The sequence below is a fragment of the Homo sapiens genome, chromosome 5 (assembly GCF_000001405.40).
Source record: "Homo sapiens chromosome 5, GRCh38.p14 Primary Assembly".
NCBI lineage: Eukaryota > Metazoa > Chordata > Mammalia > Primates > Hominidae > Homo > Homo sapiens.
In genome coordinates, this window is record NC_000005.10 from 158,789,877 (window position 1) to 158,810,158 (window position 20,282).

A 20,282-nucleotide genomic window follows, 5' to 3' on the forward strand; every position below is an offset into this window, starting at 1 on the left:
AGCTATGTGTACAAAGGAGAATGGAAAGTAGAGATAGATAGGAAGAAAGAAAGAAATGAAGGACTGCATTTACCACTTGGTTTTCCAATTTTTTGATTTAAGTGGCAAAATTGCTTCTGAGCCCCTAAACCACCATTTACCCAACTATATTCACTCACAGGTCTCCCCCAGAGGTTTCTTTTGACTTCATGCCCCGTGTCTGGGAATGTAGCTGAAGAAAGCATGCATCTGGATAAAGACAACGAGGAGAACCTGTGTGAGACTAATTGCTTCACACACGAGGAAACTTTGGCTTCATCCATCTGAGCTAAGTGGTACTGGCAATCTTTAAATATAGCTGCCCTACAAAATCATATAGCATCTAATGCCAAGTGTGTACTGACTAAAACCAGATGCAAAATATGAGGGAAATTTTGTTCAAAGCCTTGCAGCATTGGAGAATAATGGCTCTAAACATTCCTGGTCTAATCTGAATGATATTCTGCAAATATTTAAGATGGTTTTCTCACATCTATCCCAGTCCAACCACTTTGTGATTGAATTTCATGACTTGGCTCCATTAACATGAAATCAAAATGCACTTCAGCCATCACCAATATATCTCCCTGTAAGGTGATCCTTGGGGAAAAAAAAAAGAGTTCTGCCTTCACAAAAGTTTGGGACATGCTGAATACTGCATCTAAGTATTTGCGGTGCATGCTAGTACCTCAAACGTTGTGCAAAGCCCTAGAAGAAAGACCAGCAGAATTTGACTCAGCATTTCCCAAACTTACCAGGAAAAACCTCCCTCTCTCATCTCCCAATGGGTATCTATTAATATCCTGAAGAACTAGTCTTCCATAACATTATCTAGAAGACGAATTAGGCCAACACTGTGGCGTAAGTCTCAGATTTATATCAGATACCAGAATCTGAAGCATAGAGAGTAAAAATATTGACTAAAGACCTATCAATAGGGAGATGCAGTTTTGTGGCCAATTAAATTGTTTTGATGAAGTTTAAATAATTCTTTTGCAAATCAACATCACATCTGTGTATTGCAAGTGTGCTCTGAAAGAAAAGAACAATAGTGGAAGAAAAGGAGCAGTTTCCACCTGCCACCACTGTCCCCTTCTGACTGTGGGAGGATTCTCAGGGGAATAAACTCTAAAAGGAATCACTAGGCTGGGTGCAGTCACTCATGCCTGTAATCCAAGCACTTCGGGAGGCTGAGGCGGGCAGATCACGATGTCAGGAGTTTGAGACCAGCCTGGCCAACACGGCAAAACCCCGTCTCTACTAAAAATACAAAGATTAGCTGGGTGTGGTGGCACGCACCTGTAGTCCCAGCTACTTGGGAGGCTGAGGCAGGAGAATCGCTTGAACCTGGGAAGTGGAGGTTGCAGTGGGCTGAGACCATGCCACTGCACTCCAGCCTGAGCAACAGAGCAAGATTCCATCTCAAAAAAAAAAAAAAAAAAAGGAATTGCTAGAATTGTAGCACTGATTTCAAAGAGGATATAGACTAAGTCTTTCATTTTCAGATGAGAAACTGAGGTCCAGCGACCAACAATGACTAAATCTATATCCTCTGATTGGGCAATGGAAGGACAATCAATACCCAAGTCTCTCAATTGGTTCCTTATCCACTGCTACCCCATGCAATCTCAACCCTTGCAGCCTGGAATATTATTCTCTGCTCCCCACGAAACCCACCATTGTACTTTTTTTTTTAATTGACAGCTTAAATACTCTAAATTGTATAAATTCTGTGATAAAATAAAAGGGTCATGAGAGCCTAACATACCTAACACAGAGCTACATCCATATGTAAGAGGAACTTGATTGGTCATTCAAACCATCTACTTCTGACTACACCACTCTCTCTGCTTTCCAGAACTTAGCGTGAATTGTAAACTACCAATTTAATACTAGATTATATAAATATATTATGTAACTCTCTAATTTGCTGCATGGAAGCAAGTTGTCTTTCCAAATAAAACACCAGATCCCACAAAGCCCAACTTTAATTACCCATGGTACCTATCCCAGTGCTAGACACCCAGCAGGCAAGCCAACCAGTGCTCACTCTTTAGAAATTGGAGGAATTCAGAGGAGATATTAAACTAACAATTAGTTCTGCACACCAGAAGCAGGAGCCCCTCCCTGCTCCAAATCACATGTTGGTAGAAAAGCAAAACAACCAAGTGCGGCTCTGGTCAAGAAAAATAATCTCACCCCACATTAAACATCACACATCAACCCTGCTAGTTTTCCTAGATTTGTATATAAAATACTAAAACAATTTTTTAAAAGACTTTTAGAGTAGGACAGGGCAAGGAGCACAAGAATAAGAGTAAAATAATTTACTTTCTAAAAAGAGGGAGAGGAGAAATCGCAAGAAACAATAAAGAAAGAGGAAGGGGGCAAATCAAATTCACAAGAACGCCATGTGAACTTGGGAGCTCGCAGAAGGCAGAGCTGAGTTAGGAGCAATAAAGTGCCCCTTTCTTCTTCCCACCCCTCAGGGGGTGATCCATGAGCTAAACTGAACTACTCATTGGCAGAAGATTGGATTGGTAGGGAAAGAGCACAGATTAGAGTCTGTTAAGCCAGCCTGATTTTCTCTGGCTCTTTAAAAAATTCTTTAGCTAAAAAAAGACTCTAAATAATGGCATTAGCTGCTAATCTAAAATGTTATCCACTTGTCCTAGCCTGCCAGCCTGCTTCCTGGGTGTGTTGGGTATAGAGTAAGGAAATGCAGAAGTGATAAAAGTCTACTTAAAATTAGAAGGCCTGGATCTTAGACATGGCACAAACCTCAAGATCATGTGGTCTGGGGCAAAGACTTTGGATGGACAGGGATCCAGCTCTAGAGATGAGGCTAAACAGGTGAACTGTCTTGCCCTAGCGTAGGCATGTATCCTTTACTTCATAAAGATAAATTCTACCTAGAATCCAGTGGTGCCGATCACAAACATATACAACTGGAAGATGAAGGGAAGCCCTCTTACCTCTCTGAGTCTGTACATGCCAATTCTACCTGACCTTGGAAGGTAACAGCAACTGTTAAGGCACCCCCAGCACAAGACATCATGGCAATGTGAGCCTATCACCCTGATCTGATAACACCCTATGATAAAAATGGTGGCACAGGCTAAATTATGAAAGTTAAGAAGGTAAGCCCTGGGGTTGGACTGTTTGGGTTCAAGTCCCATCTCTCTACCACTTGGCAACTGAACCACTTACTTATTTAACTTCCCCAAGCTTCAATTTCCTCATCAGTAAAATGAGAACAACATCATACGCAGTGGTGAGAATCCCACAAGAGCACTACCAAACATTTATCATATTGCCTGGCAGGAACTAAGTGCTCAGTGAATGAATGTTAGCTAATATTAGTCACACTCTGCATTTTCTGTAGCTTTTTCTTAGATGTCTTCTGATCAAATTCTGATTCTGTACAATGCAAGCCTTGACAAATGGCCTCAAACTTGGTTAATATTTTTCTGCTTCTACAAAAATAAAAGGCACTCATGTAATTTTATTCGATTAAAAACAACCATCATCACTACTACAATTACTATTACTACTTTCTACTACTATACCACCTGGCTTATGAAACCTCATTTTTTTTCTTTCTTTCCTCTTTCTGTCATTCTTCCCTCTCTCAAGATTGCATGTGCTCTCTTATTAACTAGGACTTTTCCTTCCTTTATAAAAAAAATATGGTATAGTTCAAATCCAGTCTCTAGTCCTATCTGGCTGTGTAACCTTGGGCAAGCTTTTTAACCTCTCTGAAACTCAGTTTACTCATATGTAAAATTAGAATAACAGGAGTATTGCATACAAGCCTATTGTGAGGCTTAAAGTAATACCCATAAAGTGCCTACACATGATGAACCCTTAGCAAGTCTGAGCTATTTCTCCATTCCCACCATTATACAATGGATTTCTTTATTTGGGGCAGTATCAAATTCTCTCCCTGCATGAAAAGGCAGAGAAAATTGTGTGTGCCAAGTAGCCTGTACGAAAACCTAAATATAGAAATAGTTTAGAATATTACAAAAAAGGGTTCACTTCTACAAGGATCATTCTTCTGAACATCAGGACAATCATGATGATAACAGCCCAATTTAAAGTCCTACATCCAGGTACCCAACTGCTAATGCAGTTGGATTTGCTTGTTTTAAAAGAAGATCTGCACAAATATTTTGGGAAACAGTTTGCACCAGGACAGGGTCATAGTTGATTTATGACATAGCTACAACCAAGAGCAGCACGAAAGCAGGGGCTGGACAATGAAGGAGCATGCATCCTCCACCCTCAGCTCCTGGCTGGACCCACCCTGACCCCTGGGACAGAGTGAAGAGGGGCTCCTGGCACACACAAGGCAGTGGCACTGGAGGGACAGAGGAGGGAGGAGGACAAAGATATTACATTAATGGGTTTTCCTTCCTATGACTTTCATCAATTTTGTTATATAGAAACAGATCCTTTAAAGCAATTTGGATAAATCCAAGTTACATGCTAACCTCCCTTTGCTGTTCCCAAAACAGGTCAAGAAAGTAGGAAAGTGAGAAAAAATGGAGGGACCTTGATTAAGCGTAAGGCAGAGGTGCAAATGCATGATTTCCTGATGTGTCCTTATTCCATATTCAATGGAGTCCACTTGGGTTAAGAAGGCACAAGGTTTTACAGGAAGCTTCAGACTAACCCACCTCCTTCTCAAAGGGTCAGTAATTTTTAATGCCAATTTTGAGCTCCACTTTGACTACAATGACATGAAACAAGGAGTCCGTATTATATTTACTCTTCCCATCTCTCAACTTCCTTGATAAGCAACAGAAAGAAAGATGGAAAAGGTAGAAGATACAGCCCACAAGACCTGGGACAGTCTGTCCTCATGAGGACTGCTGTCTCCAGCAGGAGGAAGACAGCAGGCTGGCAGCAAAACATGCCATGAATTTGATGCTTCTAATTTACAACCCAATAGTTTCAACAAAACATAGAGTACAGTTGGCAAGGGGAAGTTACTCCACCTTTCATACCTGAAATGTTCCATCTTGCCTAAAAATTAGTTGAGTGGGCTGGGAAGCTCATCTCTGATTTGGCTTTATGAGAACTTTGATTCTACGACCAAATGCATACCCCTTGTTTGCTGAGTAGAAAATACCAAGGCAGCAGCAGCACAAGCTAGCAAGGGGCCTGCCTGAGTGGGTTACTGGCAGTAAGCAGTATACACAGAAGGCTTACAAAGAACAGCGTCTGTTCTGGAAAGACAAACATACCCAAGTATCACAGTCTTAACTTTCTGCTCATCTGCATGGCCCCTCTAGAGAGAAAACAACACAAAGAAATAGGCTAAACCAGTGTCACGGGAGCACAGCTAGAAATGGAAATCTTTGTGTGGCCATATACAAATCACTTACATTCTATAGGCTTTGGGCAGCTGCTCTCTGGCTATGTAACTATTTGTCTTGGAGCTTCACTATCCTTATCAAGAAAAGAAATATGCTACGAGTATCTACCTCGTAGTGTAGAAAGAAGGGTGAGATGATCTACCTCAAGGTTTAGCACATTGCCTAGCATATGGTAAGTCTCAGTAAGTTAGGATGACTACATGCTTACAAAGCAAATGGGGTGAATGAACCCTATGGTACCTTGTAACCCTAACATTGTTTTTATTCTAAACTTTAGTGAAGTGAAAGAGAGAGTGCTCGGAGCATGCTGGCTAAGAAACTGGGGCTCAGAACTGAGAACACAATGGCAGATTTGCCACGGCATCTATATAACGGGATGCATGTTTTGTAATCTTGAGCTGATGCTGATGGTTGCCAGACAAGTCAACTGGTAGGTTAAAAGAACAATCACAGTGCTTGGACAGTACTGCACAATTAGAACATAGTCATTTTCATGGGGTTGCAGTCACACACTGAGATGCTTGAGAGCTGTAAATTCCTAGAGCTAGAAAAAGCCCTTTGTGGTTCTAGGTTCTCCCAGCAAATCACTCTGTCTGATGAATAGTCACCAAATAAGTCAAGAACCACCTACACCTGGATTATGCTGCCATTGAATGATGTTCCTTGAAGATCAGGCTACCGTAGACTCTTTCTGCAAAATAGTCACAGATTACACCCTTGCTAAAACTTGAATGGGCTTTTTCTATACATCTTGTGACTTTGCATCTCCTCTTCAATTCCCAACATACAATAGGACCTCCACACCATGGCAAGCCCAAGAAGACAAACTGCAAAACAGAAGCTCTCCCATTGCTTATGGGCCAAAGAAAGGAAGTCATTCCAGTAGTAACTGTTGCCTCCTGGTAAACCCAAACCAACTCTTCTAGTTTCCCCAAATTCTGTAGACTGAAGCTGGCCCACCCAGAGCGGCACCACTAGAGTCTACACATTCTATTAGAAATTCAAGTATAGACAGTATCTTCAACTAGATCAAGCTATTAGATATTAATGTTCAGACAACACCTACCTCACTCCAGACCAGCATGGTACCGAATATGACCTGTAACCCATCAAAGAAATTGTCCCCTATGATGATCACAGTCGCACCTCCCGTCGTCCATCCTTCACTCGGGCTGATGGCTTTGATACAGGGAGTAGCTGCTTTTCAACACACATGAAAAAGAGAAGGAGTCTGCTGTTAGAACCAAACTTTAATGATGAAGACTTGAGAAAAAGGAAAAAAAAAATCTTTTATCTTTTCACTAACAGAAAGTCCCTCAAGATCTCAGCATTTCCCAGCCACATTAGGACCTGAAACTTCAGGGTGCAACTTCAGTTTTTAAAAGCATTCTTTTCATTGTTTCTATTAAGATACATATATTTTACCCAAATCTTTATCAAACCTGAAACTTTATGAAATAAAACACAAAGCAAATTTTAATTTGTGAAATGCTAAGGATTTTTTTCTTATTAAATATGGGTGACTTTCTGGAATATATTGGAAACCTTACAGAATTGCTTCATAGTTAAATATATCTCCTGAAAAGAAAACTTACGTTTTTTTAGATAAACATTACCATCCAATAGGAAACTAAGAAAGAGAGGAGCCTGGAGCGGGAAATGATTCTTGCTCCATGCCTTCTGTCTGAAACACTAACATTGCAACATGTCTCATTAAAAATCATTACGATTTTTTTTCAAATAAATGTCATAGATCCCATTTTACAGATGTGAAGAATGCAGGTCACTCGGGGTGAATTATGTAACCAAATAGCTGAGTCAGGGCTCAACCACAGAGTTTTCCATGACCTTTGCTTTGCTGTCTTTCCCAGGCATAAAACCCTAGAATTGACTTTTTCAAAATTTCATATCTCTTTTCTTTCCATTATAAATGGCCCTTGGAGATGGGAAATAATTTGCAAATACTGTGATTCCAAATAGACTGGAGGTGGTTTGTTTAATGAGCATGGCATACTTTCAACAGAATTGCTGGGCATAAATGTAATTCTTGGATTGTTTTTAAAATCTCTCAGGGTGCACCTTCGTGCCACTGAGGGTTTTTAACTCTACAGTGTCATGCTTCTGTTCTCATGATTATTTTTATGAACAACAAGAAAGCAACATCCTAAAGGGAGATATTGTTCAAGGAGAGAAAATGGGACCCTCATCTTTAATAAAAAGTTTATTAAGTATCCAAGACTGACTTTCTGAGCATTGAAGCCAATGAGAGCACTAGTTAATTTTAACGGGAAAAAACTGGCAAAAAAATATTTGGACTTTGTCAAATTTGGCAAAATGTCATGCTTTAACTTTTGCAAGAAGGAAAGAAAATATTAAGTCCAGCCCGGTGGGACCATTGCTCACGTGCCACCACACAAACAAATAGAATGGGTTTGATTTTGATTCAAATTAATCTTAAAAATTTGCACAGAGAAATTTGGAAATATCCAAACTAAACATTTCATGTTGGCTGAACTCATAGCAATGCATTTACAACTAAAACTGGGCAGTTCAGATGACTTTTCTCTTCTCTACTTTCTCCCAAAAACAAAATAATTAATCAAGAAGATGTAAATGATTCGTGACTTGACATTTCTTGTCTGATTTTTTAACATACATAGAGGTTGTGATCAGTGTTCCACAACTATAGGGCTTTTTCTTAAACAAAAGTGACCTTTAAAAGTAAAAAATGTTTAAATGCATGATTAAGTACTCCCAAACCAGTGGTACCATATGATGTATGATTTGAAGCAAGTTATAAGAGAAATAAACTATATTTAACAACTACATAAAGTTCTAAAAATATATGCAGTTTGGAAACATTTTGTTAATGTCCCCAAATATCAATTCTTAATTTATAACTCAGTCTACTTAGTTGCTAGAATGGAGTACAAAAGGTGTTATGATATCCCTAGTACTTCTGAGAAGAACAGGTTATTGGTTTAACTGAATTGGTCTTGAGAGTCCTGACTGAGTCAAACTGTGGAATCCAATGGGGTCATTAATTGCTGACCCTGAGATTACCCACACAGATCACAAAATGGTCTTTGTGTTTATTATCAGTTTTAGCTTTGGAATTTCTGTTAATTTTTATTTTTTTAATCACACACACATATTTCTTTAGCTAAATACGGTCTCCTGCAGGCTTTCTCATCATTGCACAAAGGGAGGTGGAAGGGGGTGTTTCTGTGTCTTTGAGAAACCCTCCTACAGGAAAGGCCTTAAAATAGCATGGCCAAGACCTGCTGGTTTTGAACTTGACCCCTTCCCTCTTTTTTCCCACTTGTTATACGTAGGATACAGAAGTCACGTGGGTGTACATGCATGCGTGTGTATGTGCTTTCAAACACTTCCCAAGGAAAGTTGCAATGTTTTCAAATACTGTGAGCAATTTTCCAGAAGCAAAGCTATATGTCAATGCCTCAGAGGCAAGAAAGAGCATCAAGCTTCCAGAGATAACCAGGTGAGGAAACAATATTTGACACCATTGTCTTAGTTTTAGAGAAATAAAGCCTTAAAGGAAGTACCCCAGGAAGAATGACACACCCCTCAGTCCCTCCTACCTCTACACTCAGCACCATCCACCATCCCTGCTTCGAGACTATATGCCATTCTTAGAGCAGGTAAGTCATTCAGACCTTTCTAAGTTTAGACCTCTAAGGGTTCCAAAGCTCCTCCTATACATCTGTTATAACATATTAGTCTTGAGGGGAAGCTCTGTGACACCTCCCCACTGACAAATTTCAAAAATATGTAAAGGAATCATGAGCTATCCCAGAGAGAGAGGATGAGGAGGGGAAGCTAGTAGTATTTAGTAACTGGAGGTCAAACTGGGTATAGTGGCTCACACCTGTAAACCCAGCACTTTGGGAAGCCAAGGTGAAAGGATCTCTTGTGGTCAAGAGTTCAAGACTGGCCCAGGCAACACAGTAAGACTCTGTCTCTTGAAAGGTTTTTTAAAAACTAGCCAGGTGCAAGCCTGTCATACTAGCTACTGGGGAGGCTGAGGCAGAAGGATTGCTTGAGCCCAGGAGTTCAAGGCTGCAGTGAGCTATGACTGCACCACTGTACTCCAGACAGAGTGAGACTCTGTCTCTTAAAATAAATAAATAAATTAATTAATTAAATTAAATTAAAGAATGCTAAGTATCCAACAATGCATGAATGCATGGGATAGTCCCCATAAATGAAGAACCCCAACATGTCAATAATGCAATGTAGAAAACCCTGTGACCAGCAAAAGAGAATCAGGCCCAAGAGCTATTGTTAAGAATTCACAGACCCATGTAGACCAAGGCAAGACATACAAACGAATGCAGCAGCTCAGGATCTCAGAACAAGCATGAGATTAATGGCCACTGTTTCTCAACATCTGTAATGCAACGGGAAGGTGCTGGTGAATTGCACGTGCCCCAGGGAAAGGTGACAGCACTGCTCAGCTTCAGCCTTTGGTGACCCCATAAAAATGCAGGCCTAGCATCGTCTGGGTTTCTGGTGATCTTTCCAAAGAAGCCAGGAAGCCACATTTTTATGTCAAATTTTTCAATCTTTCAATGTTGGAAACGAATTCAGTATTTTTTTAATGCGTAGGCCAAACAAAATGTTTGTGGGCTGGCTTTAACTCACAGGCTGCTATTTTACATTTTAACCCTACTCACAACACAACTGCCAGGCTAAAAGAAGACCTGGAAATACTTGCAATTGTGGCTAAAACTATAGGTACCCAAATGTTCATTGCGGTATTGACAGCAAAAAATTCAGATGTCTAGGTGCTCCCAGTAGGGGGTGGTTAAAGAAATTATGGTATATTCACACGATAGAATACTAGGAGTGTCATTAAAATACACAAAACAATTCTATAAACTGATATGGAAAGATTTCAAAATAGGTTAGCAGGTGAAAAAAACAATTTGCAAACTAAAGGACAGTGTAATTAAGTTGATTTTTAAATGATATATATGAACCTGTATATGAACCAGTATGAGTATGCATGCAGTTATATGTGAACAAGTATGATGGACAAAGGCCTGGAAGGAAGGATATGTATAACTGTCCCCAGCAGGTCCTTATAAAAAGAACTAGACTGGGGTTGACAGAAAAGGAGGACTATTAACATTTATTCCCTATATATTTGTATGATTTAAATTTTTTCAATGTGTACAAATAAGGTACTATGTAATAATAATTTAAAAAATTAAGTAGCAGCAGAACATTTAATTCTATGAGAGCAAACAGTTGTACTTTTTAGAGCAAAATTACATTTTAAAAAAGGAAAATAAAACAAACAAAACAGCTGCGCTGACCCTGAGCCTCCCCTTCTCTCCTCATTTTGGATATGTTTTCTCTGAGAAAGCTCAGACAACATGCAAAGCAGCCAAGGACTTGTTTCTTACATTTGGGATACCCAGAGAGAAACAGAGGGGAGACAGGGAAAAATCACTTTTAATAGTCACAGTGGATGGATTCAGTGGAATTTGACTGTGAAAAGATTTATGAAAGAGTTCAATTCAGCACAGGGATGTGATAATCAATACAAGTCTATCTCCAAGCAAATATTATGGAATGTGGGGGCGGTGTTTGAATACAAAACCACTTTTACCAGCAAATTTTTGATTTAATTAATACAAGATTCTTTCTTCCTCTCCAATGAATTTTCACACTCATAAGTATCCGCAAGGCCAGTGACCCAATTTCTGGTTTTAAATCTCATTAAAAATAAAAGTTTAGGGTTAGGGGGTGGGGTTTGCCTCTTTTTTTAAATCCCTTCCCCCACCCCTCACCAGCCACGAAAGTAGAGGAGATTTTCCTTCCTTCAAACTATGACAATAACATGATTACCCTACCACAGTTTAGCATAATGGCTCTGAAATGCTCATGGCACATTGCAGAGTTAAAATGGAAATTATTAGGTAGCTCTTCTTTGTTATAATAATGATCACTCCACAAATAAAAGCTCTTCTCCCAAAGGTACTGCAAGGCACAAAATGCTAATTCTGAAGATTATGTGTGTGCTTTTATTAAATATTACTATGCCCTGCCTGTTTGAGGGCTTCTCTGCTCTGATTGTTTTATGAGTACCATGTTAATGTCATTCCCATCTTGCTAGCAGCAGGCACACATTTTAGCGTTTGTATGAGAGTTGATCAAAGGCCACGTGCTGGGGGAATTGCTGAGAAAACACGGACAAGCGATAAAAATCTAACAGATTAATTGGTTTAAATTTCATTTCAGGGTGTTGAACTTTGGCTCAGGACTCTAATACTACACCGTGAGTCAGGGCCTAATTACCAGATTTCCAATTTGCTTCTTGAACAATGGTCATGGTGAGAAGGAAAAGAGAGGGAAGAATTAAAAAAAAAAAAAAAAGAAAGAAAGAAATCGTTCAGCTCCAGTACGTATTTAACAACTAATGTTCTGTGTGCAGACAACTGCACCAGGGGACATTTGCTATCACCTACTCTATCTCCCGAGCATTTATATTTCCTTCGAACAGCCACAGAAGGCAGAAGAAATCAGAGATGCCCTCGGTAGTTTAAAATTTTCTGATTTACAGAATAAGTGTTACATGATTCAAGTGCCTGCACACTCGCACTGGGAGCATCAGTCTCTTTATTAGCAAGGTGAATTTATAAGCTGGAATCGCACTTCAGCCTCCAATAGAAATGATCTATTTCTTTGATAGAAAGCAAGGGCCAGGAGAGCCATGTTTACCTCGGGTTTTATGGGTAGCCTTGGGAATAAGGGTTAATTGAGCTCAGAGGTGCCTGCCCATTGAGGTGAATTAGTGGTGTGTGCAGCTATCAGCAGGGCCCTAGGGCTGCTCTTATTTTTCCTTCTGAAATCTCTCTGTGCTGTGATCAATACCTCACTTGTTTGGGGTAGCCATATAGATGACCCAGGTTCAGCATTTATCATATCTTATCCCCAAAATGAGGCATTTGTGACAATCGATGTGACATTATGAAAGCCTAATTAGAGATATATTGTTTGGCTTTTTTCTCCATTCCTGTATCTAAATACACTGGAGAAACAACACTCTGTGAGTTGATAAAATGTACAAATTTAGAAATTTTCTAATCTAAATCTAAATCTAAATCTCAAGGTGATATAAGGTTCTTTTCCATTCCCATTACATATGGTGTAGGAAAACGTGCACACTCTCCTTTTCCAGAATTCTATTAACCAGAACTCTCTATTAGTGAGCATTTCTACAAAGCAGACCACTGATGCTTACAGTGGAGGTGAAAATACTGGCACTAGCCTTTACTGGCTTCTGAGTAAAGACAGAAATATGAAATTATGTTAAGTTGATTTTAACATTTGGAGTATGACTGTATTTGAAAATGGGCAAGAGCTCCAGTTGTTCAAATTCCACATCTAGCACCTAGTGCAACCTTGAAACAGTCTCTTACCTTCTTTAAGTTGTAGTTTCCATAAGGGCACTCACCTCACAGAGTTCCAGCAAAATACACAGAAAATGCCTACTTGTGTTTTGTTGCTTTACTATGCACCACATAGTATGCTAGTTGCTGCTATAATAATTACCATCAGCTCCCCATTAACTAGAGTTTATTTACGAGAATACCCTATACTCTCATCAGTTCAGATTATGTATTTTATTGTAAGACTTTCCTAAGAACTCCCAGTTCAGCTGCTTGCTAACATATCCAACTAAATGTACTGAGTAGGTGGAACTGGCAACAGTCCCTCCAAAGTAGAATGTTTTTTTAAGGATCTCATTTGCCTGGAATGAATATTAATGGGAAACTTTTCAGAAATGAGGAATCGACTTTAATGTTATTGTCCCAAATTTTTGAGACTTGGCAGAAAACATAAAACCCATGAGCTCAGCTCATTTCTACGGGATACTTGTGACCTCGTAAAACTCATGCTTTTCTCCCTTTTATCTCCTTAATTTTGGTGATGTTGTACTTGGGAGAAACGGAGAGACTATTGAGGGCACAAAATATTCCACTTGGACTCAGCGCACAGATATCTCTTCCTCCTGCTCGATCTGAATGCTTGTTTTTGCTGGTGTTTTTTTTTTTTTTTTTTCAGTGAATGATGACCTTCCTGCTCACAGCTCCTTAGCACTACAACCTGCCTTCTTTGATCCTGAAACTAGCAGCTACTGGACAGGCAAGAGGACAAACAGAAGGTTTTCTTCCAGCTGGAAGACTGGACCTCTGTATTTTCACCATGCACAGGAGGCAAATCTATTCTTTGTTTATCCATTCTCCAACTGGATGCTTTAGAAACCAGAAGCAATTAGAATGCCTGACCTGAACCATGGTACCAGAGTATGCAAACTTCACTTTCAGAATGCTAACTCCAAATAAACAAATAAACTCAGCCAATAAACAAACAAACAAATTTGACAGTTTCCTCATGCAAGGTGTAGCAGCCTTTATAACACTTATGCTGTTGCTTTAACTTGTGTTACTAGGGATTTGTTTCTGCCTTACTTTATTTTCTTCAGTAATTGCATTATGCAGTTAAGCATTTTATTGTTTATTAGGGTTTTTATTTCATTTTGTTATTTGTCTGCATTTATTGTCCTGTCCACTAGCATATCTAGATAATACTTGGCAAAGATTCATGTATTATATATGAAAAAGAGTCGTGTGTGTGTCTGTGTGTGTGTGTGTGTGTGTGTGTGTGTGTGATGTTTGTCACTTTAAGGAGAAATGTAACCCATGATACAGAGATCTCTCCATACTAGATGCAATTAAACCTATTAAATATTAAATGAGGAGATTGAGAATTTCAAGTGATTTTCATCCTTTATTCCAAAGTGACTTCATTTGGCAAGAATGCCCTTTGCTTTGACAGCATTAATGGCTCTCGCAGAAAAGAAGAAAAGGAAAAATTCACAGGCACTATTTGGAAATGTAGCTCCAATGTCCATCTACATTAAGGCAGTGTTAGCTTAGTGGTGAATATCTAGATGTACCTAAACTTAGCAAAATAGTGTCTAAGTTCCAATTTATGCCATTTGCTAATTATAGACTAAGCCCAAATTATATTCTCTTCCTATTTTGCAGCTTTCTTATTTTATTCTGAATTAGCAAAATTTTTCAACAATCAATGGACATAGCACCTGAGCAAGGGAAGGACAAAAATGCTGGTGCAACAACTGTAATCCAAAACATTCCAGGGCAAGCGCTTTTGGATTCCTGAGTTTGTCTGTCGGAGATCTGGAACTGTGTGCAGGTTCATTACACGGGGTTATTTGACAATTTAGCAGTAAGAAATCTTGACATTTTGATGTACCTGTAACTTCTAAATTGCACTTGAAAGACTTGTTGAAGGCTTTTTGATTTAATGACACACAACATAGCATTGTTTCATAATATGCAAAAATTGTTTGTTAACTACACTGCAGCTCAGAATTTTATAACTCAAGGTGTGACTACACTGTTTTCCACCTCATGTTTGATCTGCCAAATCCAAAATTAAAATGTACAAAATATTAATCCTAGAGCAGCCAAAGGCAAATATTGTCATCAGTTCTTTGGGTTTCTTTCCCACCTCTTATTCTATGACTGTCAGTCACTCCATTGCAAAGCAATGGGGAAAAATTGTCATGGAGGGTAAGAGAATTTTCAAAATGAATTATTCATGGATCCAATTGTGATATTTGTTGCAACAATAGTACATTCACGTGCCTCTGATTATACAATAAGTAAATAACTCTCTTCATCCTGACAAGGAGAACTTTTATGCACAAAATTATTTTTAGTCCAATTCTCCTTATTGTCCTGTTGTAAGAAAAGTTTGGGAAATGAAAGCCAAGGGGAAAAAAGGAAATGAAAATAACCTTCCAAAAATGGACACCCAATATTGTGAAAAGGGGAAACAATTTTCAGGTTAAAAAAATATGCAACTGCTTCTTCAAGGACTATTTAAGTCTTTATTCACAAGCAGTCTTCCTGGGCCTGGAAAATCATAAAGCCAAATATGAGCAAGTCTAGTGGAAAATCTGTGACGCTAATCTTGGCTGGAGTCGTATTTTTAACAGGCCTTGAATGTGTGTGCCGGATTATCCAGATGGCCATACAGGAATCGGCCTGATAGGATTAAACCTTTATGCTGAACTCTGCTCCATCTGTTCGCCAAGGTTTGCCTTTCCTTATCTGAATATGAATTTTTAGCCTCCTTATGTCTGGAGGCAGGACCAAATTCAGCAATAAAAACATAGATGCGTGCAGATAATTTAGCATTTCATTAGTTACTCTCAGTTCATATTACCTTGGTCTTTTTCTAGGAAATGTTTTTGCTATGAATTTTGCTAAGAAGAAATTTTAAAACATGTAGAATCTACTTTTTTGTTAGAGGGTTTTGTCTTTCTCTTCCTATTGAATTCTAGGAATCATTCAATTCACTATTGTAATAGGAGTTTACGTTGATGTTTGCCCACAAAGATAAAAAAGATATGGTATCCTCTTAGCAGAATTTGACTGTAAGATTAGATGATGTATAATTCCAATTGGATGAATGATCCAAGCAGAAGATAGTCACATGTGTTTTCTTCTTTTTTTTTCTATTACAAGAGGATCGGTAATAGTCATCACTTAACAAAATTAGCTACAACACTGTTTCTATCATTTTCATTAAGATTTCTATGTTTTAAGGAGGCATGTTTTTTTTTGCTGGGGCAGGGGTATGGGTGTGGGAGCAGAAGCTATAATTTGAGCTTAAACTGGAGTGAAAAAAGCAGACATCTGTTTTGTCCTCCATGTATATATCCCTAGAAGCAGTGAAGTCATTTATTGATCAACTGGAAAAGTTGGCTTATGGCAGGCAGGTTTCAGGAAAAAGGCCAGTGGGTTGCCATTAAGCCAGAGCTTGGTAGATGGCTCTGGGTTTCAACTCTATGACAAAGACAAATGGAGGGCTCTGACTACCAGGCACGGTGGAGAGGGCCAGTGACAAGTTTCCCAGGCAAACAAGGTGCGAACGAAAGAAAAAGTTGCATGAGAGAGGGATCTTTTAGAATCCTACTTGTGAGCTGGTTTATAGCAACATGATCATTAGATGTGCTCAGTGTGTTCACGATGGAAATCTCAAGAGATGGCAGCCTGTGTGCCCTTGGCCCTAAGAAGAGAGGATCCCTCCAGCAGTCTAGCAGGATTCCACAGGCTTCCTTCTCACAGTACCCTCACTCACCCTGGCTCTTGGCTCTATGCTGTCGTGAATGTGGGAGTCAAGCAGCTCATCAAATAATGTAGGCTTTTCCACTCACAAGTACAGTTATTATACTTAAGTAGTACCCTTAACTGAACATTTAGGGGACAGAGAACAGTCAGACTTCCTATTTAAGCTTAAGATGACTTACACTTATTGCTATGAATGTGCACATAAACATTTTGTAAAACACATGTCTTAGGCTCCTGAAATTGACAACAATTCTAGCCAGGTAGTGGTTCCCACTTTGGAAGTAGATGCCCCTAGGTGATGAAGCCTATTATAAGTCATCTCTTGTAAGATGGGCAAGTTCACACACACAACCCTACTGTCTATCTTCCACATTCTATCCTAAATGAGGACAGCTGACTGGATGTTTGATCCCATTACTCAATCTGCTTTTGCTTTGCCCATTACAGTAGCCACTAGCTACACGCAGCTATTTACATTTAATTTTCAATTAATTAATATGAAATACAAATTATTTCCTCAGTCATACCAGCCACATTTCAAGTAGTCAATAGTTATAGTGGCTAGTAGCTATCATATTGGACAGCACAGAGATAGGACACTTCCATCATCACAGGAAGTTCAATTGGATACCGCTGATCTCAGGATCAAGTTTTCATAACTCAGCCTATAACTGATAAAGACTAATCAGAGCTACAATATAGGGGGTGCCCTCCATAGACTAGGAACTGTGCTAGGAACAACGATTAATCTCCAATCCCTCCAATGAGGAGCACAAAATCAAATGCTCACAGGGCTAGGCAGGAAGGTAAGTCAATGAAATGGGATGAGGAGATGCAATGGGATTGGTGGGGATTGTGGCTAAATGTAGAGTATGTGCTTCATCCAAAAGGAAGATGATTTCTGAGTTTTCCCTACCCGTTGCCATTTGAGAATGTGGATCCAGCACTACCAGCTCTTCTGATTATAAAAGACATTAGTAAATCCAGGTTTTCATATAATCTCTCTATCTTCAATTGCCAGCAACTAATACATAATTTCTGAAGGTGCCATGCAACCCAAACATAAATATGGCTGAAGGCTGGATTCAGTTCATGATCTACCACTGTGCAACTTATATAAATCCTCAGAGGGCTCAGAGTCATCTTTTACTGATTATTAATTTCTGCAATCATTGAACTAATACTGTCACTGACTTACCAAACAATAAACATAATCATGGCCAATTCTGCTCCTGATCTTTACGTCTTCTCCCAAAACACACGGAAGTCCCCCAGTTGGCCTTTCTTTGCTATGCAGAAGATTTTCTATACGCAGTTTGAGAGATGAGCTCCTGTTCCTGAAGGATTTTTATTGTCATGCAAGACAGCATAGATAGTGACTTTTTAAGAAAACCATGTTTTGAATGTGAGCAGCATTTTGAAACCAACCTTGCCCAACCTTTAATAATGCACAAGTCCTGCTTTGTGCTTTTCGGAATAGTTCTGCTTATATTTCTCTCCACAACCGAGGCTGCCATTGCTAACATATTTCAGTGAACTTTCATTATTCAGAGCCTTATCATTTTGAGCCAGTTTCCTCTCCTCCCTGACACATTTAGTGACACTGCAATCCAGCGTTTGTTACAGCACAGATGTTTCCGTGGTGATGATCTGTGATGTCATAAGCACAGGAATATGTATCATTGACTTTGCCCACATAAGCCATGCAAAGAATGGGAAGTCCACTTTCATCTCAACTCTATGATGTACTGACTCAACTTCCTCAAAAATTACTCTTTGGGGTCTGGGCTGTTCTGTCTGGACATCAAAGAGCAAATACTCGCACTTGCCTGTTTGTGATTCATTTCTACTACATAATTATTAGTTATATGCAAAGTCCAGTCTACCTATCAAAACCCAGATTAACCTTCCTCAAATACCAGCTTTCAAAACTTAGCCAGCGGGATCAAGTCCACCCTCATGAGTCTGGCCCATTCTCCCTTTCTAGCCTCATTTTCAGCCTCAGCAGCAGTTAAGAGCACCAGCTCTGGATTCAGGGGGCCTCAGCTAGCCCACATTTCAGCTTCACCATTTACCAGCTTGGGCAAATTACTTCACTTTTTGAAATCCTCAGTTTCTACCACTTTAATTGAGGACAATAATTATAAGACAGCCCACCTCATAGGATTGTTGTAAGGTTTGAATGAGTTAATCTATGTGAAGAGTTCAGTACAGAGTGGGCAAAAATTGTGAGATGATGACGAAGAGGAGGAGGAAGAAGAGAAGTTGCTGTAGGAGAAGGAGAAGGAAAATAGGGAAGAAGAAAAGAAAGATGGTAATGACCAGCTTCCCAAATCCACTGTCTCCAAACATCCTTTGCATGTTCCCAGCATATTTTTTTATGAAAGATATACCACTTACTTCCATCACCCAAACAGTTACTTGCCAAAAAGATCCATCTTTTGCATGAAGGTGTCTCTTTCTATCCCAGTCTACAAAACACTAACCCTTTAGTGAACTCTTCCTATCTTTCCCATTTATTATTTACTGCACTTTTCCTTGAACTCATCTTGATATATGCATGTGTTTATAGCTGGGCATGTATATACATAGGCAAATCACCCCAACTAGTCAACGCATCCCTTGCAGACAGGGACCTCATTCATTTACAAACTGGGTAGACAGTACTCTGCACTCAACCCATACCTGACAATTAACTAGCATTGTTAAGTTTTTAAAGGGTTTTACCATACATTATCTTAATTATTCTTTATATCAACCTTGAGCAGTAGGCAAACAGACCATGTTCCTCATTCCACTTTACAAATGACATAGCTGAATCTCAGGGATTCAACTGGACTTGAGACTTTGAGAATCCATGTTGATTGATATAGTCAAATGTTTAAAACACCCAAACTACGCTTCAACTTTGGTGTTTATCTGAAATTTCTGTTCAGTTTGGCTAAAATATTCACTTCAATCATACAAATACAGCCAAAGTCCCATAAAATCTTAAGTTGTGCAATTTCTTATCCCCAAGATAGAGGGTGGATATTTATTAACTTTACAGAATATTACTACTCTATTTCCAAGTAAAGTTATTTTCCCCCTAAGACTCAGACCCACATATGAATTACAGTAAAATCTCTCTCCACCTTCTTCTATTTCCAAGTTCAGAAAATGGCATCCTAATATAATAGCACAGGTGCCAATTTAAATACAGGAACATTGAAAATACTGCCAAACTTCCAGGCTTAGAAGCTTTTCTGTTGTTACATGTTGGGCTGCTAAACACACACTGAGTCTGAACATCTAACACAAACGATAGCAACACTATGAGAAACATTTTTAAAGTATCAGGCAGTTCCTTTTAACTTTCATTTTTAATCTGGACATTGTCCATTCCAATGGTCTTCACTATAGAATGTTGCACGTATCATGAAAATAATAACAATTTACTAACAAATAGACTATTCTAAAATAGTACCTTAATAACACTTTCCCCCAACTCTCTTTTTCTTTTAAACAGCAAAGATTGGATTCCACAGGCCTTTAGCTAACCAAATCAAGGAGAGTTTCTAGGATTCTGCCAAAGTTGAAAGGTAGAGGAATATGAGGTTTGACTTTATAGATTTGTTGCACATAATAGTTACTGGAAAAGCACAGCTGGTTTGATGATTCCGCCAGAAGATTTTGGCAAAGA

General features: G+C 39.1%; 1 protein-coding gene across 28 annotated transcripts in view; it reads right to left on the bottom strand.

The window, feature by feature from the left end:
• The window catches only part of EBF1 (EBF transcription factor 1), a 403,997-nt gene that overhangs the window by 93,957 nt on the left and 289,758 nt on the right, over positions 1 to 20,282 (bottom strand). For 14 of the 28 annotated variants that reach the window (NM_182708.3, NM_001324108.2, NM_001324106.2 and 11 more), the window contains one exon: positions 6,469 to 6,599. In NM_182708.3, coding sequence (NP_874367.1) covers positions 6,469 to 6,599 — 131 coding nt within the window. Of the gene's footprint in view, positions 1 to 6,468; positions 6,603 to 20,282 lie in introns of all 28 variants that reach the window. The other 14 variants (NM_001324107.2, NM_001324109.2, NM_001290360.3 and 11 more) reach the window with 1 other exon arrangement.